At 59.6% G+C, this 27,914-nt stretch overlaps 1 protein-coding gene and 1 long non-coding RNA gene across 5 annotated transcripts, besides 4 other annotated features; one reads left to right on the top strand and one right to left on the bottom strand.

Annotated features, from left to right (window-relative positions):
- L1CAM-AS1 (L1CAM antisense RNA 1) lies at positions 428 to 8,746 on the bottom strand. The gene is made up of 7 exons (NR_130768.1): positions 8,700 to 8,746; positions 5,522 to 5,707; positions 5,145 to 5,470; positions 3,982 to 4,055; positions 3,441 to 3,610; positions 2,361 to 2,455; positions 428 to 921 (listed from the first exon to the last, which is right to left on the bottom strand). It is a non-coding gene; the product is annotated as a L1CAM antisense RNA 1 (long non-coding RNA).
- On the top strand, positions 3,245 to 27,904 carry L1CAM (L1 cell adhesion molecule). 4 transcript variants are annotated; one of them, NM_001278116.2, is made up of 29 exons: positions 3,245 to 3,353; positions 13,474 to 13,657; positions 16,176 to 16,190; positions 16,721 to 16,826; positions 17,064 to 17,266; positions 18,239 to 18,361; positions 18,458 to 18,628; positions 18,919 to 19,030; positions 19,178 to 19,362; positions 19,484 to 19,615; positions 19,755 to 19,898; positions 20,466 to 20,577; positions 20,691 to 20,857; positions 20,960 to 21,116; positions 21,296 to 21,420; positions 21,508 to 21,618; positions 21,865 to 22,062; positions 22,294 to 22,364; positions 22,547 to 22,769; positions 23,599 to 23,714; positions 23,918 to 24,119; positions 24,208 to 24,330; positions 24,424 to 24,597; positions 24,714 to 24,833; positions 24,941 to 25,096; positions 25,401 to 25,535; positions 25,869 to 25,941; positions 26,039 to 26,050; positions 26,524 to 27,902. In NM_001278116.2, exons 2-29 carry the CDS (start codon positions 13,582 to 13,584, stop codon positions 26,753 to 26,755), a joined length of 3,774 nt encoding a protein of 1,257 aa, NP_001265045.1. In that variant the 5' UTR covers positions 3,245 to 3,353; positions 13,474 to 13,581; the 3' UTR covers positions 26,756 to 27,902. The 4 variants fall into 4 exon arrangements, with proteins under 4 accessions (NP_001265045.1, NP_000416.1, NP_076493.1 ...); NM_000425.5 differs by lacking the exon at positions 3,245 to 3,353 and having other exon boundaries at positions 13,404 to 13,657; NM_024003.3 differs by lacking the exons at positions 3,245 to 3,353; positions 26,039 to 26,050 and having other exon boundaries at positions 26,524 to 27,904.
- Positions 6,853 to 7,850: an enhancer, noted in NCBI's record as "H3K4me1 hESC enhancer chrX:153147023-153148020 (GRCh37/hg19 assembly coordinates)". NCBI's record gives its function as "activates a minimal SCP1, AML or CMV promoter by ChIP-STARR-seq in naive H9 embryonic stem cells {active_cell/tissue: H9 hESC(naive)}" and the evidence as "EXISTENCE:reporter gene assay evidence [ECO:0000049][PMID:30033119]".
- Positions 9,824 to 9,883: an enhancer, noted in NCBI's record as "active region_30041". NCBI's record gives its function as "activates an Ori minimal core promoter by ATAC-STARR-seq in GM12878 lymphoblastoid cells {active_cell/tissue: GM12878}" and the evidence as "EXISTENCE:reporter gene assay evidence [ECO:0000049][PMID:35858748]".
- Positions 25,128 to 25,986: an enhancer, noted in NCBI's record as "H3K4me1 hESC enhancer chrX:153128887-153129745 (GRCh37/hg19 assembly coordinates)". NCBI's record gives its function as "activates a minimal SCP1, AML or CMV promoter by ChIP-STARR-seq in naive H9 embryonic stem cells {active_cell/tissue: H9 hESC(naive)}" and the evidence as "EXISTENCE:reporter gene assay evidence [ECO:0000049][PMID:30033119]".
- Positions 25,987 to 26,845: an enhancer, noted in NCBI's record as "H3K4me1 hESC enhancer chrX:153128028-153128886 (GRCh37/hg19 assembly coordinates)". NCBI's record gives its function as "activates a minimal SCP1, AML or CMV promoter by ChIP-STARR-seq in naive H9 embryonic stem cells {active_cell/tissue: H9 hESC(naive)}" and the evidence as "EXISTENCE:reporter gene assay evidence [ECO:0000049][PMID:30033119]".

Raw genomic sequence — 27,914 nt, 5'->3', positions numbered from 1 at the left:
TGCTCCATCATAATCACACAAAGCTGGAAACTACCCAAGTGTCCTTCAGTGAGTGAATGGCTGAACAAACCCTGATCCAACCAAACAATGGAATACTACTCGGCAATCAAAAGGAAATATACTGCTCTCTCTCGCCCGCATGCTCTCTCTCTCTCTCTCTCACACACACACACAAACACACACACCAACATGGATGAAGCTCAAAAAGTATGCTGCGTGAGTGTGAAAGAAGCCAGACAAAAGAATATATACGGTATGATTCCATTTATAATAAAATTTAGAAAAGACAGAAATCAGATCAGTGGTGGCCAAGGGCAGGGGGTGGTGGGAGTGGTTGGCTGCACACAACATTCACCAAAACTCCTTGAACTGTAAACCTCAAAAGGATGAATTTTACTGTATGTAAATTATACTCCAATAAAGTTGATTTTTTTTTTTTTTTTTTTGAGACAGGGTCTCACTCTGTCACCCAGGCTGGAGTGTAGTGGTGTGATCATGGCTCACTGTAGCCTCAACCTCTTGGGCTCCAGCGATCCTCCCACCTCAGCCTCCTGAGTAGTTGGGACTACAGACATGCACCACCATGCCTAATTTTAAAATTTTTTTTGTAGAGACGTGGTCTCGCTGTGTTGCCCAGGCAGGTCTCAAAGCTGATTTTTAAAAAGACAAGAATTGTTAGACAGAATCAAACCAAACCAAAACCCAACTATGTGCTGTTTCCAAGCGCTACACCTGAGATATGAAGACACAGAAAGATTGAAAGGAGAACAGAGAAAGACACGTCTGGCTGAGCCCACCCCGCCTGCCTGCTGGCACTTCCTTACTGCCCCACTGTCGTCTGTGGCTTCTGCGTCTTCTGCATGCTCATCACAGGGTCAGAGTCTGGGGCTTCCCTTGTCCAGTCCACTGTGTCTATGAGGGCTGGGTCACAGGGAGCAGGGCTGTGAGAAGCACTTGACGTTGAAGGGAAAGAGACAGTCATCTGTCTACTTGGTGTCCCCCTAACCTCCAACAGCAAGCACATGGCAGTGGGGGGGTGGCTTGCCTCTTGTTCAGGGCCAGTCCCTCCTGCTTCTCCTGGGACTTGCTCTGCCCTTGGTCTTCTGTCACTCTTGCTCTTGCTCCCATTGGCTCCTCCACTTCATTACATGGAAGTGAGAATGGGCATCGTGGTCAAGCAGAAGGGAATTCAAGTCCGAGTTCTGCCATTTACCTTCTGGGCTATCTTGGGTGGGTCATTTGACCCCTCTGAACCTTGGTTTCCTCATCTGTGAAATGGGGGCACTGATAGTGCCAATTTCTTCCTGGTTGCATGACTGCCCCTCTCTGGACCTTGGGTACCTCACTGGGAGAGTGAGGATAATAACAGCACCATCATCTGGGGTGTGTGTGTGGATGCAATGAGCCAGTGGAGAGAAAGAGACCTTCCTAACTGTGCTTGCTGGACCCAGCCTTGAGCTCTGTGGGCTTTGGTTTTCTCATCTGTAACGTGGGGCGAATGCTTCAACAGACCTCCCCAGGTTGGTGTGCAATTTAAATGTGCAGGAAATGTAACGATGGCAGGTCCATGGCTGTGCTCAGGAAATGTGATGTCGTGTAATCCTAGTAATGAATTTTTTGTTACCATAAATGGACCCATCACTACACATTAGCAGGTGCGTATAAACGGGCTCTATTCCCTGCTTACTTCACCATCCTGATGGGCATCAAACCCTAGATTAGGTAAAGGATTTGCAGAAGTTGGGGCTTGGAGGAAAGGCTGGGAACGTAGGGAGTGAGTGGAGGCAGCAACTGGAAAGGAGAGAGGCCTATCAGAGTTCAGATCAGCAAAGGCAGGAAGCTGACCACAGCTCAGTGCCTCATGGAAAGTACGCCCTCTTGGCCCAGCTCATGAGCCTGCTGGCCTCGTGACCCAGGCGGGCTCAGTTTCCTCTGCTGTCACCTGAAGATGCCCTGCAAGTGCCCCCACTCTGGAAGCAGTCTCCCTAGCCGTCCGTCTTCACTCAGGTGCCTAGTCTTGTCCATTCTCCTCCTAAAGGCTGGGCAAACATGGCATCCAGACCCTCTCTGAGCACAGATGGGTCCACCCCAAGCTTCCCATTCCAGGGGAACTGAAGCTGGCACTATGGGGGTGGGGCATCCAAGCCAGGATGCCAGGGCTGCTCCCATGTGGGCCCTCCAGGGCCCCACACCACTTGGGGAGTCTTGTGAGACTGAGTCGAGGGCCCCTGGAATGCTTCACTGGGCAACAGGCATGCCCATAAAAATACCGTGGCCGCCAGATCTGCAATCTGCCATCGGGGCCCTAGGCCTTCCTAGCCCTGAGGCTGCAGCCAGCTCGCCGGCTCCGGAATTCTTACCCCCTCCATTTTGCTTCCTCGCCTGTGAGGTCATGGCCTTGAGCCTAGGAGGGGGCACTGGGGAGGAGCTCCTTCCTTCTCGATCCTGTGCAGGGCTGCGGGGGAGAGTGGGAGAGAGTGGAGTCGGCGGGAAAGGTCGAATGGGGCCAATCCCGAGGACAAAGAAATAAGACACCAGAGAGCTGGAGGAAAATCTGGGAGTTGGGGGTGGCAGTTCGAGGGATACCCTCTCCCAGACCCTGTCTCCCCTGGGCTCGCCTCCTACCCTGCCGCCCACCTGGGCTCTGGGGTGCGCAGGAGCCGGTGCTCCGCGGCGCCTCCCCAACACGCTGAGGACGAAGCCCCCGCACCCCTCCCAACAGGACCCTGACTGGGCCCTCAGGATCGGGGGGCATTCGGGAGAGGTCCCGGGAGTCCTGCCCTGTGTGTGTGTGTTGGGGGGGCGTTGCGTGCAGGTGCCCATCGCTGGCCGGCGCCGTCGAGGGCCAGGCCGAGGCTAAGGGAGCATCCCCTTCCTTGCCGGACTCCTCTCTCCACCGCCCGGCCCCAGGCCTCTGGGAGCACTCTCGCCCCGCGATTCCCGCTCCGAGCTTTCACAGCGGGCTCCCTTGCGCTGGGGCTGAGGACACTCTCCGGCCGGAGACTCCCGGTCTGCGGGGAAGGGGGTCTGGCGGGACCCGTCGGCTGGGGTCCCGCTGAGCTCCCGGAGTGGGCTGCCCGGGGGCCCCCAGCCCAAGCCGCGCTCGGCTGGCACCAGGGGCTAGGGTGCGGCGGGGCGGGGCGGGGCGGGGCGGGCGGCCGGGGAGGTGATCTCACTCCTCCCTCCCTCTCCTCCCCGGCGCTCCCCTCCCCCGCCCCTGCGCGCACGCCCGCCCCGCCCCGCCACAGCCGCTGCTGCCGCAGCATCGGCATCGCAGACGCGCTCGGGCGGCGGGTCCGAGGCCGGCGTGCGCGGAGGCTGGGCGGGCAGCCCGAGCGGTGGCCGCAGCGCAGGTAAGGCGGGCTGGCCTCCCCGTGCGACCCGGGCCGCGGCCGCGATCCCCCGGCGACACCACACCGCTCTGCCCGGGGTGCACGGACCAGGGAGTCCCGGCCCGGTCCGGCCCGCGGTAACCGGCGTTGCTGCCGGAGCCCCACCCATGCCGGGCGTCGGGCTCCGGGCACCGCGGGCTGTAAGCGGGGCGGGGGAGGGATGCCGGGTGCCCGAGCCCGACAGGTGAGGGGTAACCTGCGGGGCCCCAGATGCTGGCCTGGGCGGGAGAACAGGGCGGGGGGCGTCAGGCAGGGTCTGTGTGGGCAGGCGGGGGCTGAAGTTGGCGGGTCCCCGTGCGTGTGTGCGTGTCTGAGAAAGGAAGCCAGATCGGGTCGAGCGCTCCCCCACAGGCCGCCGTGGGGTGTGGCCCTGGGCGTGGCTGCCCCTCATCCCCAGCCGAGAGCTCAGTTTGGTTGAAAATCCCGGCTGACAGCGTGGTGAGGGGTAGATCGGGATAAGCCGCCCCTGCAATGGGGGGAGGGGAGTGAACGGGACTGGGCGCTGCCTGCCCCTCCGCCCCAAGGTTGGGGGGGCTTTGTTCTCCTCCTTCTTCTTTCCAAATCCCAGCCTGGGCTCCTCCGGGCTCACCCGAAAACCTGCCGCAGAGCCAGGGGCTCCTCCCCGGAGGCGTAGGGCGCCTCTGGAGCCCGTTTCCACAGGCTCTGTGGCCAGTCAGGGCTGGAGTGGGTGAGGTCGGTTCGGGCACCCACTGCTGTGCCTCCCGTGCATGGGTGTCCATCAGGTAGGGTCCATCAGGTAGGGGTGAGGGAAGGTGGGCCTCACTGGCTCAGGCGGTCCCTGCGCACTGCAGGTCTTTTGCCCACTGCCACATCTTCCTATCTCTGTGCGGTTATGGGAGGGGTCAGCGATTCCTATTCCCTCCATTCCAGGTCAGACTTTTGGGGCCTCTTGGTTGGCAGGGATTGCAAAGAACACGCACTACAATCCATTGCCCCCGACAGGGTATCTGGACCCCCCACCTATCACTGTCCCTCTCAGGAAGGCAGGCCTAGAGCCATCTGCCCCCTTCTCCAGAAGGAGTGGGGGCCTGGCACCCCCCAGGTAGATACCCTGCCCCTGTTAACCCCACCCTGAGGGCAGGGGCATCGGGGCAGCCCAGTGCCATCTCTGCTGACTCATGTGGCCCTGACGTAAATCAGTGCAGTCCGCCCTTCTTCCCCTGGGGGCTGCTGCCCAGCATCATCTTTCTGGGGCGGGGGCCTCCCCAGGGCCTCTCCCCTCCCGTCAGCTCCTTGCTGCAGGTGGTGGGACTTGGCCCAGCCTGGCCTCTCCCCTGGCACAGCTCCCATGCAGTGCCCACATGTGCACACCTGAGGGCTCCAGAGCCTTTGAGGACTCGGCTGTCTTGGCCACATGGGAAGTTTGGGGCAGGGTTGGGCCTGGGACCTTCCCACCTCCTTGGCTCCTGGTCATTTCTCTCTGCTGCATCTGAGTCTCTCTCCATATTTATTGATGTTTGTGTGTGTATGATCCCGAAAGTAATACATCTTATTGTAGGACACTTGAAATATACAGAAAAGAACAAAAGAAATTAAGAATCGCTAGTGATCTGATCACCAAGAGGGAAACACGTTCAGCACGCCCCAGCCTCCCTGGTTTGCTACACCGCGCTCCTAAAAGGCTCCTCCCCAAGTTCCCAGCTGCCAGCTCCCTGCTGAGCATCAGGAGGACAATCAGCGCTTCAAGGTGGCGGGGTCCCCTGCCCTGCAGCCAGTGAAGAGCTTCCCTACCCAGGCGCTCAGGATCCCAGCGATGGGCAGTCGTGTACTGGGCAGCTGCTCATGGCCAGTGCTCCTTTGGGCCGGGCTCTGGGCTGCCCATGGAAGAGCCAGTGACAAACTGGACCAGCATTGTCCCTGTCTTCGTGGGGTGTCACTTGTTTTCTTTTTTCTTGATGATTATCTGAAGGGAAAAGGGAGGCAAAGAGTGAGGAAGGGCCTGGCCTGAGGGCTCCTACAGTGAGCAGGGTGCCCAGATTGTGCCCCCAATCGGCCTCTCCCAGGTCCGAGCCCTTTCCACCACTGGAACTACAGCTGGCGCCTTCCTTGGCATGCACCTGGCCAGGACTGGCAGGTGAGGGTCGAGGAGACAGGCCTGTGTGCCCTACCTTGATCACCAAGTTCCCTTTCAAAGCTCGAAATGGCTGCACTGAGTGCTTTTCTGGGTGTGAGGGTGATGCGGCCTCGCAGAGTGGCCCAGGCTCCAGGAGGGCACGTTCATGGGAGAACCTGGGGTAGTGGTGGGGTCCTGTGAGGAGGTCTGCCAGGATGGGGATCCCAGCCAAGACCCTGGTCTGCCAGGCATGAGTGGGGGCATGAGTGGGGGCCCTGCCTCCCTCCCTCGTGGTTCAGACAGTGGGGGAGGCGGGGGGTCTGGATGCCCTTCTAGGGTCCCCAGCAGGGTGCTCATTGCCCTGTCCTCTGCCCCTGCAATGGGCTGGGGCTGGGTCCCTGGGTGGGGCCATCTGGAATGGGCCTGCAGCATCCCTGCCCCTGCAGTCGCTGTCTTACTTGCTCTGATCTGGCCCATCTCGGACACCTCCTTCTCCTGCTTCCCCCGCCCCCCTGCTCTCTCCTCTGCAGCCTCCCACGTCTCCCTGTGCCCCACCCCCAGGGCCATCACCTTCCTCCTCCTTCTAGGCAGAAGCCTGCTGCTGCCGGGGATGGGGTGCACCACTCCCCGTCTCCTCCCTCTGCCTCTGCCTGCCTGGCCCTCCCTTCCCTCTTCCCCCTTCCCGTCAGGGCTCTGCTCCATCTCTCTGCTTACCCTTTTGTCTGTCTTCCACCGCTCTGCTCCTCTCCTTGTCCCCCCCAGCTGCCCCTGCCTCACCCTTGAGGGCCCTGAGGTTGTGCCCTGTCCAGCAGCCACTCAGCACCCTTCTGCTGGACTCTACGCCTTGGGGTTGGGCCCAGACCCCCCATGGGGGCCTTGTCTGAGTGGAAGGCTGTATGGGGGGTGCCTGGTGAGCAGCAGCCAGACGAGCACTGGGGGAGGTAGCCCGCCCAGCTTGCCTCTTCCCCAGATATCAACAGGGTCTTTGTGGCTTCCTGAAGGCTGTGGCTGGAAAAAGAGGGAGGAGCTGGGGAGGGTCTGGCCGCTGTTCTTTCTAGAAGCTTTTCTTTGTCCAGTGGCCCCCAGCCCAGGTCCCCGTGTTCTTCCCAGGTTGGAAAGCTGCAGAGGGAGTGCCCAGCCACTGTCAGTCAGCAGCTCCTGCTCATCTCTGGCCCTTACACCCAGCAGGGGCAGCTGCGAGGGCCAGGGGTTGGGTGGGGCAGGAGGGTGGCAGCGTCCTGGGCTCCATGCACTTGGCCAAAGAGGACTTCTGAACCCGTCCATCCCAGTGCGGGTCTGAGAGTGGAACTTGAGGGAAAGGGACTGAGTCCCGGGAGCCCCTCTGCCCCCTGCCCTCCAGCCAGGCAGACTTCCTATCTGCATGTATGGGGTTTGTGTCTCTGCTTGTGTGTGTGTATTTGTGTGTGTGTAACCTCCAGTATTCCTGTTTGTCTGGGTGGGGTCATATATTTGGTTGCATGTGTGTGTGTGTTCGTGAACCAGCATGCACACACATATTGTCATGAGGCCACGTGGGTCTCCTCAGATGCCCCAACAGGGCCTGTGCTGGGAAGGGGTGGGGCTGAGGGTGGCTGCTGCAGTGGCTGGATGGGGACAGAGCCTCTGGCCAACCCAGGCTGTGCTTCAGTGGAGGGGGGTTCCCTGTGGCCCTGTCTCCCAGCCATCTGCGTCTGTGTTCATGACTTAGGAATGCCCAAGCCCTGGGGATCACAGAGGCCCCATTGTCCGCCCCCGGGCTTCCTGTGTCCCCCTCTGCCCTTTAACCCCTCGGGAGTGGGGCCCCTGGAGGGGGCCCGTGGGGCCTGGCAGTGTCTGAGCTGTTTCCAGGCACCCCCACCCCGCCCCCCGCAAACCAACACAGGCTAGGTATCCCAGGACTGCTGTGGGCCAGGGCCTCTCCCTGCCCCAGGCTGGGCTCCTTCCCTGCTCTCCTTTTCAGGCCACAGCCCCAGGAACTGGATGCAGTCTGTTCCTTCTGGCCTGGCCGCTGAAGCCCCCTCTAGTGCTAGGGTCATCCTAGCTCCCTGAGGAGGCCTGGGGCCTGAGAGGAGCCCTAGTTTTGCTGCCACCTCATTTCTCTCGCCTTCTAGGGGTCTCGGAGGCTGAAGCCTTGCCGCCTGCTGGGCATCAGTATCTCCTTCGACACAAGAATGGGGCCACTGCTGTCCCTAAATGCTGATTGGAGAGGGGCCTCTTTGGGAGGGGTTCTGGAGCCTCTGGTTGCAAGAAAGGTATCAGAACAAGTCCAGATTCCAGAGAGCAGAAGAGGGGACCAAGAAACCAGCCTGTCCCCAAGCCCAAAAGGGAAAGGAGTTGGCCTTCTCTTGGACTGAGTACCTGGATGGGGGACTTGGGGGTTTGTTTGGTGTCGGGCTTCAGCTCTGTGCTGAGACGTGATGTTGATCACATCCTACTTCCGCATGGCCTCCATCCCAAGATGTCACTCCCTGCCCCCGACATTTGCCTGCCATCTGCCTGGCAAGTAAGCCCTCCCCACGGGGCAGGATGGCTTGGAGGCCATCCTCGCCCAGGCCCCTGGTTCCCTGGGAAGCCCAGCAGGCACACATGTTGGGATGCCAGAGCCTCTGAGAGGCAGCTTAGGGAGCCACCACGCCCTCTAAAACCCCACCCCTGCTGAGACCCAGTGCCAGCTCTGTGATCTTGGACACAGTTTCCAGTTTTCTGAGCCTCCGTGTCCTCATCTGTAAAATGGGGATGATGATAGCACCTCCCTCCCTGAGGCAAATCTGGGGAGGAGATGAGTGGATGTGAGTGGAAGTGCTCATGAGGCTTTCTGGTACGTGGTAAGTCCACGCTGTAAGTTGATTTAATAGAACAGACCACAGAGGCATGTGATTGTGGGGATGGAGTGGGGCTCCTCCCTCCCTTCCCCAGTAGTCAAGACCGTCCTCCCTGAACCCCACAAAGGGTTAACCTCCGTCTCTTTTCCCCATCTTTTAAGGAGAATGGTCCATTACAGGTGAGTTGTAGTTGCCTTGGAGACTGAAGCCTCAGGCGAGATGAGGGGGCTGAGGGCTCACTCTCTCCTAAGGGTACCCTCTTAGGGAGGGGTGAGGTTGGGAGTGCAGGGACTAAGCAGCAGTCATAAAGGACTTCTGGGCCCCCAGGTACCTGTGGGGGCTCCCTGGAGCAGCCCCCTTTATGTGCTGTCTACATAACACATAACAAGGCTTTCCTCTGGCTTCCCCCACCTCTGGGACTTGGGCTGCATCACCATAGAAACCCGCCAGCCACGGCCTGGGGAGCGGGGCGGGGAGGGCCAGCGGGAGCCTTAAAGGGACACAGTGCACAGGGTGTAGGTGACACCCACACCATCGTATACACACCAACAGGCACAGAAGCCCCCCAGGCTCCCAGGCCTGCAAGCACATGGGCCCAGCACCACACTCTGACCCTTTCATGTGCCCTGTGCTGAGCCCCCAGCCCCACCCCCACTCTGGCCCACTGAGTCACCAGGCACCATGTCCCCAGGAGACAAGGGCAGGAGAAGCCGGATAGTCTCTGCTGTGCTGTTGAAGGGCTCTCTTGTTGCTTCTCCTTTGAGAGGAACTCCAGGCAGAACCTGAGAACTGACAGGCAGGTGTGCAGGGCACATGTGCAGGGCACCGCTGGAGGTTCCCTTCTCAAGGTGTGTGGTGGTGGTGGTGATGGGGTGTGTGTGTGTGTTTTCAGGGAGGAGGCAGTCACTCCAGGTCTAGCCAGGCTCCACAACCTCCCAGGTCCCTCCCTGGCAAGCTGCTTCCCATCAGACCAAAGCAGGCACTTTGGAGCAGAGGACAGAGGACTCCCTGAGGGACCTGCGGGTGTAGTGGGAGGCCAGGTGGGGTGGGATGGGGCAAGGCTCTTCTGGGGCTGAACCCCTCCCTGTAGGCTGCTGGGCGTGACCCTTGCCTCCCTGGCCCTTTCCCACCGGGGAGGATGGGTTTGGGACCGGACTTACTCAGGAATGGCCCCATCTTCAACTGCCCCAGCACAGCGGCCACTGTCCACTCAGTGCATGGTCACGCAGGCTCACTCTTGGCCTAACACATGTGCGTCTCCTCCAGCCAGGTGACCACTTACTCCCAGCCAGCAGCAATATTGGAAGGCTTCCCTGGGATTTTCTGGGTGCTTCCCCCTCCCCCCGTTCCTACCCGCAGCAGGAATCCCCCGACCCCCACCTGTTCCCTGGCATGGCATGGGTCAGCCAGCAGTGTGCCATTCATCCTGTCTCACGGCCGTCCCTTGCCCAGTGCCACAAGTGGGCAGGGCCTTGATGCTCTGTTGCGTGGGGCTTTGTAGGCCCCTCCGGCCCCAGCTCACAGCTGCTCCACCCTCTGTCTGTCTCTCTACCCTGCTCCCAGGCCAGCGTGACGTCCACGCCGGGAAGCCCCTCCACTGACCCAGGCCCATCTTCCCTCCTCCCCGCCCCTTGCCTGGCACAGCCCCCAGGGACAAGGACGCTGTGCAGGCGGCCTGCGCGCACGCGCACGTGCACACGCCCACCCCCACCCCTCACTCTTCTCGCTCTTTCTGCCATTTCTCAGCGGCGCACTCTGCAGCTGCCTCTCACCCTTTGTGCTCCGGTTTCCTCTTCTCTCCCTTTCTCTGCTGCCTGGGTCTCCGTTTCGGAATTTCCCCACCCCCTAACCATCTCCATCGTGGTTAGCGCTGTCTTCCTACGTCTGTCTTTGTCTCCTGCTCCCCCCTGCCTCTTCTCACTCTGTCTGTCACCCTTGGCAGACCCGGCCTTGGCTCCATCTGTGGAACACTCCCCCCTCCCCGCTCCTTTGCCCTTAGTGGTGCTGGTGGGGGGTAGAGGGCCTGCTGAGCTGACAACCCTAGCTGCTTGCTCTGTAATTGCCTGAGGAATGGTGAGAGATCAGAGACCCAGCAGCAGTGGGAGGAGAGGAGGGAGCGCCCCCTCCCAGCTGTTATATCTCGCAACCTTCTGGCTGCTTCCTGCCTGTCTCCGACTGCCCAGGGCGGTGGCAAGCTAGGTGGCAAATACTGGGAGACCAAAAAAGAAGTTGGATATGAGCCTGTGGGGAGATGGGATGGGGCTGGGATGGGGCAGGGAGCGGGGACCAGGGGTTTGGGGATATTGTATTTCCCCTGAGCGTACATGCCAAACACCATTCCAGGATTCTAGATTTGGAGGACAAATAGAGGAACTTGCGTGGCAGAAATTATCGACCTCCAGAGCACCCAAAAGCCTCTGACATGCAGGAGGGTCCTTCTTTGAGCTTTTCCTTGCTCCGGTTTCCTCCCCTCCCCCTCCTAAGACCAGTGCTCAGAGCTCCCAAGGCTGCTGTTTGATCATCTGCTCTCTGATCCGAGTCTCCTACTGCTCCTACAGGCCTTGAAGTTGAGGCCAGTGCTGCCTGGGGCCTCCCCTGATCCACTGGCTTTGTAGGGAGAGGCCGGGGTGGAACAGATCCACTGTTGCTCTTCCCTTCTGGGCCCAGGTCCAGCTCTTGCAGGCTGGGAATCACTCTTCTTACCCTCCAAGTCATCTCTTGGCCTCCAGGCCATGCACGCTGACCCACCCTGCTGCTTCTCCACCACCCTCTGCAGCAAGCTCTTGCCCAGAGTCCCCACGGGATCTGCCGCATTCACAGCTCTTCTTGGGTCACTCTGTTACACAAAACTGACAAGGCCCAGAGCCTTAGCACAGCATGGCTGACTTCTCTACCATCCTTTCGGTGTTCCTGCTGAGGCTCGGTGCCCGCTTTGATAAGGTCCTGGCTGGGCAGAGGGAGGATGCACAGTATGGATTTAATGAAGGCGTCTAGTCTGGGACTTCAGCCTCCAAGCTCTGTCACCTAACAACACCCTTTCTTGCCTTGCCTGCACTTTAACCACTTCCTGTTTGGAATTGAAGTGGTCTGGCCACTTGGGAGTCTGTTTCCTCTTGTCATTGTCAGAGGAGCCCCCTCTTTCAGACCCTTAGTCTTTGGCTCCCCTTACTTGTAGGTGAATATGGACATGGCCGGTGTGGCTTGGGTTTGGGGTGGACACATGCAGCAGTTGAGCTCTGAAGACTCAGACAAAGACCTAGAAATTGGGACTTTGAGACACACAAGAAGTGTTAGAAACACTGTCACGGAAAATGTCCCAGAGCTTGTCCTGACCCCTGTCCTGACCCTAACCTGGAGCATCTGGAAGGGAGGAGGCCTCAGTGGCCTCTCTTGACCCCCAGGGGGCTGAGGAGCAGCAGGGGGTTGTTTTCCTCCTTCCTCTCTTCTCCCACACCAGTTCTCAAGGGAAGGCTTCCTTCCCCATTCTTTCTCTCTTTTTTTTGAGATGGAGTTTCGCTCTTGTTGCCCAGGCTGGAGTGCAATGGTGCGATCTTGGCTCACTGCAACTTCCGCCTCCTGGGTTCAAGAGATTCTCCTGCCTCAGCCTCCCAAGTAGCTGGGATTACAGGAATGCACCACCACGCCAGGCTAACTTTTTTTTTTTTTTTGAGACAGAGTCTTGCTCTGTCACCCAGGCTGGAGTACAATGGCGCAATCTCCGCTCACCGCAACCTCTGCCTCCTGGGTTCAAGTGATTCTCCTGCCTCAGCCTCCTGAGTAGCTGGGATTACAGGCATGAGCCACCACGCCTGGCTTTTTTTTTTTTTTTTTTTTTTTTTTTTGTATTTTTAGTAGAGACAGGATTTCACCATGTTGGCCAGGCTGGTCTCAAACTGCTGACCTCATGATCCGCCTGCCTCAGCCTCCCAAAGTGCTGGGATTACAGGCGTGAGCCACCACGCCCAGCCCTAATTTTGTATTTTTACTAGAGACAGGGTTTCACCATGTTGGCCTGGCTGGTTTTGAACTCCTGACTTCAGGTGATCCACCCACCTCGGCCTCCCAAAGTGCTGGGATTACAGGCATGAGCCACTGTGCCTGGCCTTTTATTTTTATTTTTATTTATTTTTTTAGACAGAGTCTCACTCCATCACCCAGGCTGGGGGGCAGTGGCACGATCTTGGCTCACTGCAACCTCCGCCTCTCAGGCTCAAGTGATTCTCATGCCTCAGCCTCCCAAGTAGCTGGCATTACAGGCGCCCACCACCAAGGCTAATTTTTTTTCTTTTTGTATTTTTAGTAGAGACGGGGTTCCGCCATGTTGGCCAGGCTGGTCTCAAACTCCCAACCTCAAGAGATCCACCCACCTCAGCCTCCCAAACTACTGGGATTACAGGCGTGAGCCACCACGCCTGGCCCTTTCCCCATTCTTTCTTCATTTTCCTGAAACTATTTTGTGAAATGCTGCCATCTTGGGCCCCTTTCCTCCCTTCTCTATCCCACTTCCCAATCCCCCCATTAGCTTTTTAGGTCTGTACAGCACCCAGGCATCAGTTGGCTCTGAAAGCTATAGCAATGTGACTGCAAGAAGAATTCTTCTCTACATGTGTGTGCACACAGAGATAATAGATACAGGGATTCATCCCCACAGATACATAAAGACATACAAGAAGACACACGTAGCTAGCAGACTTGTGTGTTGATTCCCTCAGGCACACACACTAACACACCCACTCATGAGTGCAACCCCTCCCAGAGAAGACACACCACAGAAATACCAGCTCACATACAGCTCACTCCCTGCTTGCAGATCCACAACCACACACATGCCCACGGACACCTGCACATGCAGACACATACGGGGATGTGCATGCCATGCACAGGGGAGCTGATGGGGCAACAAGTTGGTGCTGGGAAGGCAGCTGGCAGGAAAGGTGCAGACAGAGAGTAGAGAGGGAATAAAAGGCAACCTAGAGGCCCAGCCAGGGCTATCTCTTCCAGATTTCTCCCTCCAAGGTGGGGAGGGGTGCGGATGGGGAGGGGAGGGCTGGAGAAGCCGGCCAGCTGGGGGCGGGGCTGAGGGCGGGGCCAAGAGCCCGGGCTTACCCAGATGTTAGTCACTAACGTCCTTCCGTTCTCTCGTCTCTCTTCCCCCACCCTTCCCTTCCCTTCTCCCCTCTCCCAGTGCCCCCACTCCCAACTCCCGCCCCAAGCCGCCCACCAGCCCCCTTCCCCTCCGGCCGGAGCCTGAACCGAGCCCGGCTGGCTGTGCTGCGCGGTGCCGCCGGGAAAGATGGTCGTGGCGCTGCGGTACGTGTGGCCTCTCCTCCTCTGCAGCCCCTGCCTGCTTATCCAGATCCCCGAGGAATGTGAGTAGCTGAAGGGAGCCTGGGCGCCTACCTTCGCCGCTATGTTGGGCCCCTCTTTATCTTCTACCTCCTCACCTTCTCCCTGTTCCGGACCCTGACTCCTCTCCCTGGCCTTTCCTGGGCACAGGGTGGGCAGGAGATAGCCAGGACGTTGGGTACCCCCGGAGAGAAGGGCAGGGTAGAAGGTGCGGGGCGTGTCAGGACCATGGACAGGGACAGGCGCGGCCGCCGGGGCGATTTCAGCACCAGGGACAGCGAACCTGGAGCAGGGCCCCGAGGTCTTGGGCCTCCTCCATGCTCTCCTTAGCCCGCCCCATCTCTGCCCGCCCCACTCCGACTCCTCCGCTTCCATCCCCCACCACAGGGGTGTGGCAGCAGGAGAATGGGGTCGTCCCCAGCCCTCAGCTGGCTTGTGCAAAGGCCTGTGTTCAAGTCTTGTCCCCATTTCTCTTTCCCCTCCTGGGCCCTTGGTCACCCTGTCTCTGAACTGAGACAGGAAAAGGTGGCTTGAAAAACCCTGGTCCCAGCCCAGCAGCCTTCTGGACCCTTTTTTGTGTGTAGTTATTTGGTGGGGGTGGGGGCAGGGCTGCTGGAGCATGTGTCTATGGTTGTAACATTTGTTGGGGGCACAAGCAGGTGAGTGGATGTTGGGGAGTGTGGCCGTAGGGTTGTGATTAAGCATGGATACACTGTGTATGTCTGTGTGTTCTTGTGATTGACTGAGCGTAGATATTCGTGAATGTGATTTTGACTTCCTTACATGGGTGACTGTGTGAGTCACTCTGTTACTTACTGGCCAGGCTTGTGGAGGTCGGGAGGTATTTGACCACGACATTTGATTGCATTGGGTCATGTGTATGTGTGAGTGGGGCTGAATGTAAGTACACACTTGCGTGTGGGGGGTGTTACCGTGATGGTGTTTTCTCCTGTAAGTAGCTGTCAGGCCGTGTGAGGGGCATGTCACAGGGTATCATGTGTGAGGGCATTTGTGTCTCTTGAGCTACCAGGCTCCAGTCCCTTCCCAGCCTCACCTTGACACCTTTGTCTCTGGGCCTGGACAAGGAGGAGGCCAGTGTCACTGAGAGACGAGTTGGCGGATAGGGGTTGGGAAGACTGTCTGTGCCAGCAGTGGGACAGGGGCTGCGAGAGAGAGGCTGGGGAGGCACCTGGCGTTGGGAGGCAGTGAGGGCTTGGAGGAGGTAAAGGGGCTGGCCCCTTAGACACATACATGGAGGGCCAGGGCCAGGCAGACTCCCTTGGTACAGATGCACATGGACACATGCACACAGGTGCATGAAGACAAGGCAGGTGCAGGGATGAAGGAGCAGAGCCGCTGAGAGGCCACACAGGTGGAAACACACACCAGTGAGGCTTTTAGACCCAGAGGACACAGAGGTGGATACACAATATAACACTGTACAGTGGAATGCAAGCCGTGCATTCTCTACAGAAAGATGGGAGTGGGGAGAGAGAACTAGGCCAAAAGGCCATGGCAGCTCCAAGGCTGCCCTGGTCACTGACCAGCACTTGTTCTTGACCCTGATACGACACAGTGGGCAGTGGCAGGCAGCCGGCCCTCCCTGTTGGAACCTGTCTTCCATCTCTCCCTCCCCAGCCACTCCAGCCCCCTTTGTCTCTTTTCCTGCTTCCTCCACCTAGTTGGCTTTCTGCATCCTGTCATCCCTGTCACCATCTCCCTCCCCAGCTCAGGGCCCTCTGCAGTGTCCCCAGGGAGCCCCCTCCTCCCTCCCTGGACCTTCACACTGAGGTCTTCTGCAGAGACAAAGCTTTCAGAGGCAGCCTGCTGCTCCCTCCCTCCCTCTTCTCCCTTCCTCGAGGCCGCCCTGGCCAGTGCTCTGCAGAGTCCTGGGGCTGGGACAGCAGCTCTGGCCTCTGCCCCAGAGAGCTTGGTGGCTGTCTGGGAGGAAGGAGGGAGAAGAGGAGGGCTGGCGCCAACCCCGCAGGCTATGGAAACTCAGAGGCAGCAGGGCCTTTGGGATAGTTTTCAGGGGGAGGGGGCAGCAGGGCTCTGAAGGCTGGGCCCTGGTAATTGAAAACACTCAGCTGTGCTAATTGGATTAGGAGGGAAGCAGGCTGGAGCAGGGGACGGTGCCTTCCAAGGCATCCTGAATGGGTGGGGTCAGTTCTGCAGGCCCTGCCAGGCCCTGCCAGGGGGCTGCAAGGACACTCCTTGTTAAAGGCAAGAATTTCTCTCTCCCTGTCTGCTAGAGCTGGAGGCATGGCCTGGCTGCCTCTGGGCTACATGCCCTGTGTGTCTATCCAGTGGAGCTCCTCTCCCTGGGCATCTCTCTGTCCCATCTCCCTGGGCTTGACCTGCCACTGCTCCAGCCCAGCGTGTGCCCCCTTGTTGCCACTGCCAGGGCCTCCTCTCCTGCCATTCCCTCTCCACGGGGGGGCTGCAGGAGCTTACTATGTCCCCTGCCATCTGCCCCACTCTGGGGCTGCCTGTCAGTATTTCTCTCCATTCCCTCCCTTGCTGCCTGCCTGGATTTCTCAGATGAAGGACACCATGGTAAGTTGGGGAGGGGTGAGAGTGTTTCCCAGAAGGCCAAGGAGAAGGGTAAGGAGGCCCTCAGCTGAGCCTGCACCCCCGCCCTCCTGAGTGCCGGGGCCCTGCTCGGCTCTCCCTGAGCACCATGTGCTTCTCTCACCTGTGTGGGGCTGGCTTTGTTCTGTCTCTGCCCCAGCCTGGGTACTCTGTCACCCTCACTGTTCCTCTCTGCCATTCTCTCTGGTCCCTTCTCCCCTGTCTGGGGTTTGTCCTTCTTGGTTTCTGTGTCTTGGCTTTTGTTGCCCCCGCTTCTTTCTGTCATACCCTTTTTGTCTTTCTCAGGCATCTCTTTGTAACTTACGTGGCTGTCCCCTCTCTCCCTCTTTTCATGTCCCACAAGCCTCTTTTGTTCTTCCCCTCCGTTCGTCCCCCTGTGGCCATGGGGCCTCCAGGGGCTCTGGACCCTGCTTCCCTCACGATGGGACAGGTGCTGAGGCTATGACACCAGCCAGGCAGCACCCTCACCACCGCTCTCTCCACCCTGTCTTCAGTGATGGAGCCACCTGTCATCACGGAACAGTCTCCACGGCGCCTGGTTGTCTTCCCCACAGATGACATCAGCCTCAAGTGTGAGGCCAGTGGCAAGCCCGAAGTGCAGTGAGTGATCTCTGCCGTCTCAGCCCCTGTTGCCTGCCACTGACCCCGGCCTTGTGCCTCCCTGGACTGCCTAACTTCTAAGCCCAGAAGCCCCAAACCTTGCTAATCACCCCAAGTCCTCGCCATCTCCCAGTCCATCCCCTGGGGGCCCTGGCTGCTTGCACCTGTCCCTCCAGCCTGTTCCAGCCCCCGTTGGGTTCCAGGGCCTCAGGCCTCTGGGCCTTTTTCCGCCCACAGGTTCCGCTGGACGAGGGATGGTGTCCACTTCAAACCCAAGGAAGAGCTGGGTGTGACCGTGTACCAGTCGCCCCACTCTGGCTCCTTCACCATCACGGGCAACAACAGCAACTTTGCTCAGAGGTTCCAGGGCATCTACCGCTGCTTTGCCAGCAATAAGCTGGGCACCGCCATGTCCCATGAGATCCGGCTCATGGCCGAGGGTGCGAGGCGCTGCAGGGACCAGGGAGGGCAGGTCCCGGAGTTCGTGTGGGATTGTGGGCTGGAAGCTGCTGTCAGCCAGTTGTCTCGTGGCGAGGGGCCTGGGTGTCCTGCCAGCCCTCCACCCCACCCCAGCTTCTCCCCTGGCCCATCTTGTTTCTTGTGCAGTCTCCTCCTTTGCCCTGTCTCTGTCTCCATTGCACTTCCGGTCATCTCATGCCCTTTCACTCCCTCAGGCTTTCCTGGTGCCTGCCTCATGGCTGAGCAGGAAGGTGGCGGGGGGAGGGGGGGGCGGGCTGGTGGGGGGAGTGACTGATTCTGGGCAGACCTGCCTGAGTCACTGCAGTCATCTCTGTCTACACCTGCACTCCTTAGCAGGGCCCCTCTTCTCTGGCTTTTCCACTTGGCTCTCCATCTCCTCCCCTCCACCTCCGACTTGGTCTCTCTTGCTCCACGGCTCTGTCTTGATCTGTGTCGCCTTTTCCCTGGGGTTTTCCCTTTGCATTCCATCCTCCCTGAGCTTTCTGCTTCCTGAGCGCTCTCCTCTCCCCTCCCCACCCCTCCAGTTACCTTGGGAACCGTTGCCATGGTTTCTGTGTCAGGATGATGGAAGGGTCTGTGACTCCTGCATCCCTCCACAGCTCCCCTCCCCCATCACTGCACCTCAGCCTCAGCCTCCCCCCACCCGTCCTTTCCTAGGGTGGGCAGGGAGAGCTGAGAACCGTGGAAGGTTAACCCTTCCTGGCCTCCTGGTCTCCTGCTCACCCTGGCCTCCCTAAGTGCTAGTCTCTGCTATGAGTCCAGAAGGTATCCAGAGTGTCTGCCTCCTTTTCTGTGAAGTTTCTACTGGCCTGACCCTCTCGCCCCCTCGTCCATCCCTGGTGTAGCCCGCCACCCCCCTGCCCCCACCTCCCTTCTCCTGCCTAGCACCATCTGGACCAGGAGGAGAGTGTCAGCCCGTCTGTCCCTTCTAGGTGCCCCCAAGTGGCCAAAGGAGACAGTGAAGCCCGTGGAGGTGGAGGAAGGGGAGTCAGTGGTTCTGCCTTGCAACCCTCCCCCAAGTGCAGAGCCTCTCCGGATCTACTGGATGAACAGCAGTGGGTGCCGGCGAGCGGCTGCCTCGTGGGGTCGGGGTGTTAGCGGGGGTGTCTTCCTGGACGGGGTCATGACTTCGGCCTCCTTGCCCCCTGCAGAGATCTTGCACATCAAGCAGGACGAGCGGGTGACGATGGGCCAGAACGGCAACCTCTACTTTGCCAATGTGCTCACCTCCGACAACCACTCAGACTACATCTGCCACGCCCACTTCCCAGGCACCAGGACCATCATTCAGAAGGAACCCATTGACCTCCGGGTCAAGGCCAGTGAGTCTCAGAGGCTCTGCACTCTCTCCCTGACTCCTTTCACCCTCAGGCATGGCCCTTCCCACCATAGGTCCATCTGACAACTCCAGGCTTCCTCAAGAACAGCTTGGCTCCCACCTCTACCCTGCCCAGACCCCTTCCCAGGCGTCGAGAGCAGAGACAGGACACTCTCCTTAATGGAGGAAGACACAGAGGCCCCGGGGGCTGGCTGGAGTGTCGAGTCCCTCAGCCTTGCAATTCTGGGGTGGAGGGAAGAGTGGGCAGCCCACCCACCCACTTTCTCCTGGCAGCCAACAGCATGATTGACAGGAAGCCGCGCCTGCTCTTCCCCACCAACTCCAGCAGCCACCTGGTGGCCTTGCAGGGGCAGCCATTGGTCCTGGAGTGCATCGCCGAGGGCTTGTGAGTCTGGGAACCCAGGGCAGGGCAGGGCAGGGCAGGGTGGCGGAGCCCTAGCAGGGAGCTCAGACCACCGCGGGGTATAGGGGGCTGGGGTGATTGGCCTTGTCCTTTCTCCCTTCTGCTCTCTTCCCTTTGCCTCCCGGGCAGTCCCACGCCCACCATCAAATGGCTGCGCCCCAGTGGCCCCATGCCAGCCGACCGTGTCACCTACCAGAACCACAACAAGACCCTGCAGCTGCTGAAAGTGGGCGAGGAGGATGATGGCGAGTACCGCTGCCTGGCCGAGAACTCACTGGGCAGTGCCCGGCATGCGTACTATGTCACCGTGGAGGGTATGGACCTCCTGGGACAGTGGCCTGTGATGCCCACTGTCATGGGGGAGGGGAGGGTCTGCGCCGGGTCAAGAGCCAGCTGCTGGCTGCGGGCTCAGGGCGGCTCTCCCCTTCCTCCCAGCTGCCCCGTACTGGCTGCACAAGCCCCAGAGCCATCTATATGGGCCAGGAGAGACTGCCCGCCTGGACTGCCAAGTCCAGGGCAGGCCCCAACCAGAGGTCACCTGGAGAATCAACGGGATCCCTGTGGAGGGTGAGCAGGGCCTCAGGCAGGAGTGGGGAGTGTGGCGAGCCCTGGGGGCTGTGGGGGAGAGGAAGAGGAGGGTGAGGAAGGGCCTCAACGCAGCTCAATGCCGGGCTGTGGCCCATGGGCCCACCTGCTGCATGCACAGAGCTGGCCAAAGACCAGAAGTACCGGATTCAGCGTGGCGCCCTGATCCTGAGCAACGTGCAGCCCAGTGACACAATGGTGACCCAATGTGAGGCCCGCAACCGGCACGGGCTCTTGCTGGCCAATGCCTACATCTACGTTGTCCGTGAGTGCCCTCCCTTCCTTACCTCCTAACTCCCAGTCTGTCCCTGCAGCCCACTGGGCCAGGCCACCAGAGTGGCTCAGCTGGCAGCTGATGTGTCCTCGGCCTACCAGGCTGGCGCCGACCTTTCTCCTTGCTGACACCCTTCGCCCCATCTCACTCAGCCTCACGATAGCCGAGGGAGATGTAAGAGGGGAAAGGTCTTGTCACTGTGACTGAGCGGACCGCTGTGCCACAGGATGTGACCAAGGCCAGCCCAGGTGGCACCTCTCCTGGAACTTCAGGGAAGGCTGGGGACTAGGCCAGGAAGGCTTCTGGGGAGAGGTGACTGTCAGTTAGGCCTGGAATAACGTAAAAGTTGGGTGGCTGTGACCAGAGGCGCATCTGAGGCAGAGGGCAGTGTCTGAAGGCAGAGAGAGACACAGCCTGGCGGGGGCCTCAGCTGGGAGCAGGGAAGCAAGATTTGCAGGGCTCTTGGGGGCCCGAGGAAGCCGTGCAGAGGGTCCCTGGCTCCTGGCCCAGCTGTGGTCCCAAGTCCTGCCCTGTCTCCTGAGGCTGTTCCTCCCCTAGAGCTGCCAGCCAAGATCCTGACTGCGGACAATCAGACGTACATGGCTGTCCAGGGCAGCACTGCCTACCTTCTGTGCAAGGCCTTCGGAGCGCCTGTGCCCAGTGTTCAGTGGTGAGTGTCTCGTCCTGGTAGTGGTGAGTGTCGTGTCCCAGTGGCCAGGGAGCCAGGGAGGGCAGGGAGCCCAGGCCAGCCAGTCAGAGCCAGGCCCGCCCTGCTCCCTCCAGGCTGGACGAGGATGGGACAACAGTGCTTCAGGACGAACGCTTCTTCCCCTATGCCAATGGGACCCTGGGCATTCGAGACCTCCAGGCCAATGACACCGGACGCTACTTCTGCCTGGCTGCCAATGACCAAAACAATGTTACCATCATGGCTAACCTGAAGGTTAAAGGTCAGGCAACCCTTGCCACATGGCTGGCAGTGCCTCTGGGAGGGAGGGTCTGGGCCTCTGGAGGACAACAGAGTGACTTCCCCACGCACGCATTACCCTCAGATGCAACTCAGATCACTCAGGGGCCCCGCAGCACAATCGAGAAGAAAGGTTCCAGGGTGACCTTCACGTGCCAGGCCTCCTTTGACCCCTCCTTGCAGCCCAGCATCACCTGGCGTGGGGACGGTCGAGACCTCCAGGAGCTTGGGGACAGTGACAAGTGAGGACAGTGACGGTGAAAGGGGGCAGAGTGGGAAAAGCTGGAAGTCCAGACCTCTTGGCCTCGTCCTTGCTTTGATGGGGAAGGCTCTGACAGGAGCGGGGGAAGGAGACAGGAGGGAGGGATGGGAGGGGAGAAGAGCCCAGATGGCAGGAAAGACAGACACGGCTCCTCCGCAGGTACTTCATAGAGGATGGGCGCCTGGTCATCCACAGCCTGGACTACAGCGACCAGGGCAACTACAGCTGCGTGGCCAGTACCGAACTGGATGTGGTGGAGAGTAGGGCACAGCTCTTGGTGGTGGGTAAGTCCTAGGGTGGAAGCCTCCACTCCAGAAGGCCGGGGCTCACATCCCTGGGCCCTTTCAAGCACCGACCCTCCCCACCCTCAGGGAGCCCTGGGCCGGTGCCACGGCTGGTGCTGTCCGACCTGCACCTGCTGACGCAGAGCCAGGTGCGCGTGTCCTGGAGTCCTGCAGAAGACCACAATGCCCCCATTGAGAGTAAGAGGCTTGAGCTCAGTGCCACCCCACCGTCACTTCTGCCAGCCCTGGCCCCTCCTGGGGTCCTCCCTCCTCCTGGAGCCTTCCTGGGGGGACACGGTTTGGGGGGACTCACGGTTCCTCATGGGAATCTGGAGATGCCAGTTGGCCTGGGTAATCAGGGACCCAGACTGTACCCAACCCCTCCACAGCCCTTCCCCCAAAGCCACATGCTGATCACTCCATTGTCGGTTCATTTCTTGGCAGAATATGACATTGAATTTGAGGACAAGGAAATGGCGCCTGAAAAATGGTACAGTCTGGGCAAGGTTCCAGGGAACCAGACCTCTACCACCCTCAAGCTGTCGCCCTATGTCCACTACACCTTTAGGGTTACTGCCATAAACAAATATGGCCCCGGGGAGCCCAGCCCGGTCTCTGAGACTGTGGTCACACCTGAGGCAGGTGAGTCAGGGTGGCACCCACTCCCATGCCACCTGGAAGGGGCTCCGGGCTGTGAAGGGAGGGCTTAGAGAGGTGCCATGCCCAAGTTCCTCTGCTTCCAAATTTCCAGGGGGAGCGCGAGGGGGCTGGACTCCCTTGGTGCCAGAATGAGCCATTTGTTCCTTGGCCCTCGGTCCTCGTGGCTCTCCAAAAGAGGCTGCAGCATTGATGTGTTAATACTTTCCTTTCCAGCCCCAGAGAAGAACCCTGTGGATGTGAAGGGGGAAGGAAATGAGACCACCAATATGGTCATCACGTGGAAGGTGAGAGTCCCTGGGCTGAGCTGCCTGGGGGACATGAGGCCATGACCTGGGTGTCTGTTGCTCCCCCTTGGCTATGCAAAGGAAGGGGCTGATGTCTGGGGATGCTGGTTTGTGCTGGGGGGCGGGCCAAAGAATGCTGGTGTTCTTGGCCAACCAACTCCTCTTCTGCTGGCCTCCTCCAGCCGCTCCGGTGGATGGACTGGAACGCCCCCCAGGTTCAGTACCGCGTGCAGTGGCGCCCTCAGGGGACACGAGGGCCCTGGCAGGAGCAGATTGTCAGCGACCCCTTCCTGGTGGTGTCCAACACGTCCACCTTCGTGCCCTATGAGATCAAAGTCCAGGCCGTCAACAGCCAGGGCAAGGGACCAGAGCCCCAGGTCACTATCGGCTACTCTGGAGAGGACTGTGAGTATCCGGCAGGGCCCCTCGCCCACGGTTGAGCTCGCCTGCTTCCACCCCAGCCCATGTCCACACCTCTCAGCATTGGTGTGCGCCTTTCCTAAGGATGAGGATATTCTCTTACATAACCAGAGCGACGTTATGAAATTCCCCACACTTCACATTTCTATAATTGGCAGCGGTATTCCAGTTATATCAGCCAATGCTGCTTCTTTCATTTCCTTGAATCTGGAACATGACCAGATGGTAACTTGAAGTACCCGGTCAAGTTTTTTTTCTGGTTTCTCCTTTTTTTCTTTTCTTTTTTCTTTTCTTTTCTTTTCTTTCTTTTTTTTTTTTTTTGAGATGGAGTCTTGCTCTGTCATCCAGGCTGGAGTGCAGTGGAGCGGTCTTGGCTCACTGCAACCTCTGCCTCCCGGGTTCAAGCGATTCTCCTGCCTCAGCCTCCTGATTAGCTGGGATTACAGGCACGCGCCACCACACCCAACTAATTTTCGTATTTAGTAGAGATGCGGTTGCACCATGTTGATCAGGTTGGTCTCGAACTCCAGACCTCAAATGTTCCACTCGCCTCTGTCTCCCAAAGTGTTGGGAATACGGGTGTGAACCATCACGCCCAGCCATGGTTTCTCCTTTGTATAAGCTACTATTTTCACCTTTGCAACTAATAAGCAGTCCAGGAAGAGATCTTGAGACCATGCAAACACACCTCTCCTCCTCAAACTGTACCTCATAAAATATCCGAATTCGTCTTCTCTGTGTGTAGGGGCTTGGGCCTGGCCTCAGGGCTGGGGTGAGAGCCTATGGCTCTATCCAAGTCACTGGTGGTTTCCAGACCCCCAGGCAATCCCTGAGCTGGAAGGCATTGAAATCCTCAACTCAAGTGCCGTGCTGGTCAAGTGGCGGCCGGTGGACCTGGCCCAGGTCAAGGGCCACCTCCGCGGATACAATGTAAGGGTTGAAGGCATGGGGGCCCAGGAGGGTGATCACTGAGGTAAAGCGACAGGATGGTGAGGGGGCTTTGCCACCTGCCAGCCGCTCTCCTGGAAGACTTGGGTTGAGAGGAGGGTCCCCATTAAGGGTGGTGGGGGTGTGCGCTGGGGGCCCTGCTGGGTGCCTTCTGCCCCTGCGAGGTCTCCTGTTCGCTTGTGCAGGTGACGTACTGGAGGGAGGGCAGTCAGAGGAAGCACAGCAAGAGACATATCCACAAAGACCATGTGGTGGTGCCCGCCAACACCACCAGTGTCATCCTCAGTGGCTTGCGGCCCTATAGCTCCTACCACCTGGAGGTGCAGGCCTTTAACGGGCGAGGATCGGGGCCCGCCAGCGAGTTCACCTTCAGCACCCCAGAGGGAGGTGAGTCCTGCACCCCACGCCTCATCCCCTGCCCTCCTCCCCAGACCTGGGCGAGGACCTACCTGCCACTCGGTTCTGTGCCCTGCAGTGCCTGGCCACCCCGAGGCGTTGCACCTGGAGTGCCAGTCGAACACCAGCCTGCTGCTGCGCTGGCAGCCCCCACTCAGCCACAACGGCGTGCTCACCGGCTACGTGCTCTCCTACCACCCCCGTGCGTGCGCCGCCCCAGCAGGGAAGGGAGGTGGAGGGGCCACGGGGAGGGGGCAGAGCTGCAGCCACAGCCAACCCCTGTCTGTCCCCACAGTGGATGAGGGGGGCAAGGGGCAACTGTCCTTCAACCTTCGGGACCCCGAACTTCGGACACACAACCTGACCGATCTCAGCCCCCACCTGCGGTACCGCTTCCAGCTTCAGGCCACCACCAAAGAGGGCCCTGGTGAAGCCATCGTACGGGAAGGAGGCACTATGGCCTTGTCTGGTAAGCTGGAGGAATGACCTGCCAACAGGGAGGCCCCGGCCAGCCGGGTCCAGGAGGGAGGGCCTTAGACTTCCTGGCAGCTGCCACACTCTCCTCGTTCCCCTGCATCCCCCCAGGGATCTCAGATTTTGGCAACATCTCAGCCACAGCGGGTGAAAACTACAGTGTCGTCTCCTGGGTCCCCAAGGAGGGCCAGTGCAACTTCAGGTTCCATATCTTGTTCAAAGCCTTGGGAGGTAAGCGTGAAAGGGGGCCTTGGGGCGTGGTGGGGAAGGGGGCTCTGGGCCAGAGGGGTTGCCTGGCACTCCGACTCACCCCTGCTGCCACCCTCTCTCCCTGGCAGAAGAGAAGGGTGGGGCTTCCCTTTCGCCACAGTATGTCAGCTACAACCAGAGCTCCTACACGCAGTGGGACCTGCAGCCTGACACTGACTACGAGATCCACTTGTTTAAGGAGAGGATGTTCCGGCACCAAATGGCTGTGAAGACCAATGGCACAGGTGAGGCGCCGGGGGCCCGCCATCACCTGCCAGGGAAGCATGGGGGCTGCACAATTCATGTCCTTCTGTCCCCTGAATGGCCACTACTGCCCAGGCTCCCTCCACGGCTCCTGTCTGCTTCTCCTCCCAGAATCTGGGTGTCCCCGAATCAGCCCCCTTTCATACCCTTTCCGCAGATGCCCTTTTCCCTGTCCCTGTCACTCCTTAGCCCCCCAGAGGGCCCCAACTTTAAGAGCATACTTCAGGGCCTCAGGTCGGGTTCTGGCTTGGGCGGCAGCACGGGGGGCTGGTGTCTCACCCTCAGGCCGCGTGAGGCTCCCTCCTGCTGGCTTCGCCACTGAGGGCTGGTTCATCGGCTTTGTGAGTGCCATCATCCTCCTGCTCCTCGTCCTGCTCATCCTCTGCTTCATCAAGCGCAGCAAGGGCGGCAAATACTCAGGTAGCCTCTGAGCCCCACGTGACGGGGGTGGAGCCGAGGGCAGAGAGGAGCACCTCGCCCCTTCCACCCTTCTGCAAGGCCTCCTGGATTCCCCGAGCTCCCCACAAGATGACAGGCGCATGGTGGGGGCAGGCAGGGGGATCATCCTCCCAGGCCGGGGTTGGGGCAACAGGCAAGTGGTGGCTGGACCGCAGGGGGTGAGCGGTTTCTTTCAAGGCCTCTTGCCTCTGGGCGCTGTTGAGACAGAGTGCTGGGGGTGCGGGGCGTAGAGGGGCCTGGAGCCCCGGGTCAGGCTGGGGCGGGAGAAGAAGCTGTCCCTCTCTGTGTCTCCAGTGAAGGATAAGGAGGACACCCAGGTGGACTCTGAGGCCCGACCGATGAAAGATGAGACCTTCGGCGAGTACAGGTGAGCCGGGGCAGGAGTGGGTGCTGGCACTCAGCTCCACCCTGGCCTTCACATCTCACCCCCTCTCTCTCTTCTCTGTGCTGCCGGGTGACTTCAGGTCCCTGGAGAGGTAAGGCAGGGGCGGTGGGGAGGGGCCAACAGCAAGGTCTCCCTATAGACAATGTGCGCCTGGTGTGCCATTGTCCCCTGGCTGCCGGGGCTCTGACAGGACTCTCACTTCCCAGCCCCCAGGCCCGGCAGCTCCTCATTTCAGGGAGAGGCCAACACGCCCCAGCCCCTCCTCTCCACACAGATACCTTCACTGCTCCCCTCTCCCCAAGGGAGGCCCCAGACAGCTTCCCAGACAGGAACCAGGCCCCATAATCCCCTGGCCGAGCGCACATTTTCTCCCTCACAGTCCCCAGGATCTGGGGAATGCCCAAAGATGACAGCTCCAGACCTGCCTGCCAGGGTGGCCAGAGCTGCTCTTTCTGAGCGCATTCTAAACAAATGGAAGGCAGGCGGGCGTCTGCCTCACCCCCAGCCAGGCTCCTGCAGGGGCTCGGCAGTGCTCTCACTCGCACCTGCCCTGTGCCTCTGCAGTGACAACGAGGAGAAGGCCTTTGGCAGCAGCCAGCCATCGCTCAACGGGGACATCAAGCCCCTGGGCAGTGACGACAGCCTGGCCGATTATGGGGGCAGCGTGGATGTTCAGTTCAACGAGGATGGTTCGTTCATTGGCCAGTACAGTGGCAAGAAGGAGAAGGAGGCGGCAGGGGGCAATGACAGCTCAGGGGCCACTTCCCCCATCAACCCTGCCGTGGCCCTAGAATAGTGGAGTCCAGGACAGGAGATGCTGTGCCCCTGGCCTTGGGATCCAGGCCCCTCCCTCTCCAGCAGGCCCATGGGAGGCTGGAGTTGGGGCAGAGGAGAACTTGCTGCCTCGGATCCCCTTCCTACCACCCGGTCCCCACTTTATTGCCAAAACCCAGCTGCACCCCTTCCTGGGCACACGCTGCTCTGCCCCAGCTTGGGCAGATCTCCCACATGCCAGGGGCCTTTGGGTGCTGTTTTGCCAGCCCATTTGGGCAGAGAGGCTGTGGTTTGGGGGAGAAGAAGTAGGGGTGGCCCGAAAGGGTCTCCGAAATGCTGTCTTTCTTGCTCCCTGACTGGGGGCAGACATGGTGGGGTCTCCTCAGGACCAGGGTTGGCACCTTCCCCCTCCCCCAGCCACTCCCCAGCCAGCCTGGCTGGGACTGGGAACAGAACTCGGTGTCCCCACCATCTGCTGTCTTTTCTTTGCCATCTCTGCTCCAACCGGGATGGGAGCCGGGCAAACTGGCCGCGGGGGCAGGGGAGGCCATCTGGAGAGCCCAGAGTCCCCCCACTCCCAGCATCGCACTCTGGCAGCACCGCCTCTTCCCGCCGCCCAGCCCACCCCATGGCCGGCTTTCAGGAGCTCCATACACACGCTGCCTTCGGTACCCACCACACAACATCCAAGTGGCCTCCGTCACTACCTGGCTGCGGGGCGGGCACACCTCCTCCCACTGCCCACTGGCCGGCCTCTTCCAGCCGCCCCCACCCCCCAGGACCCCTTAGCAGCCCTGCCCTCCCTATCGTCTGAACAGTTGTCTTCCTCAGCCTCCTCCCGCCCCCACCTTGGGAATGTAAATACACCGTGACTTTGAAAGTTTGTACCCCTGTCCTTCCCTTTACGCCACTAGTGTGTAGGCAGATGTCTGAGTCCCTAGGTGGTTTCTAGGATTGATAGCAATTAGCTTTGATGAACCCATCCCAGGAAAAATAAAAACAGACAAAAAAAAAGGAAAGATTGGTTCTCCCAGCACTGCTCAGCAGCCACAGCCTCCCTGTATGCCTGTGCTTGGTCTACTGATAAGCCCTCTACAAAAAAACAAAAGTATATATATATATGTACATAATATCAGAATTATAACAGGCAAATAAAACCTGAAAATCAAGAGCACCTTTTG

The sequence above is a fragment of the Homo sapiens genome, chromosome X (assembly GCF_000001405.40).
Source record: "Homo sapiens chromosome X, GRCh38.p14 Primary Assembly".
In the NCBI taxonomy this organism is placed as follows: Eukaryota; Metazoa; Chordata; class Mammalia; order Primates; family Hominidae; genus Homo; species Homo sapiens.
Note: the sequence above shows the minus strand (reverse complement) of the source record. Positions and strands in the feature narration are given on the sequence as shown.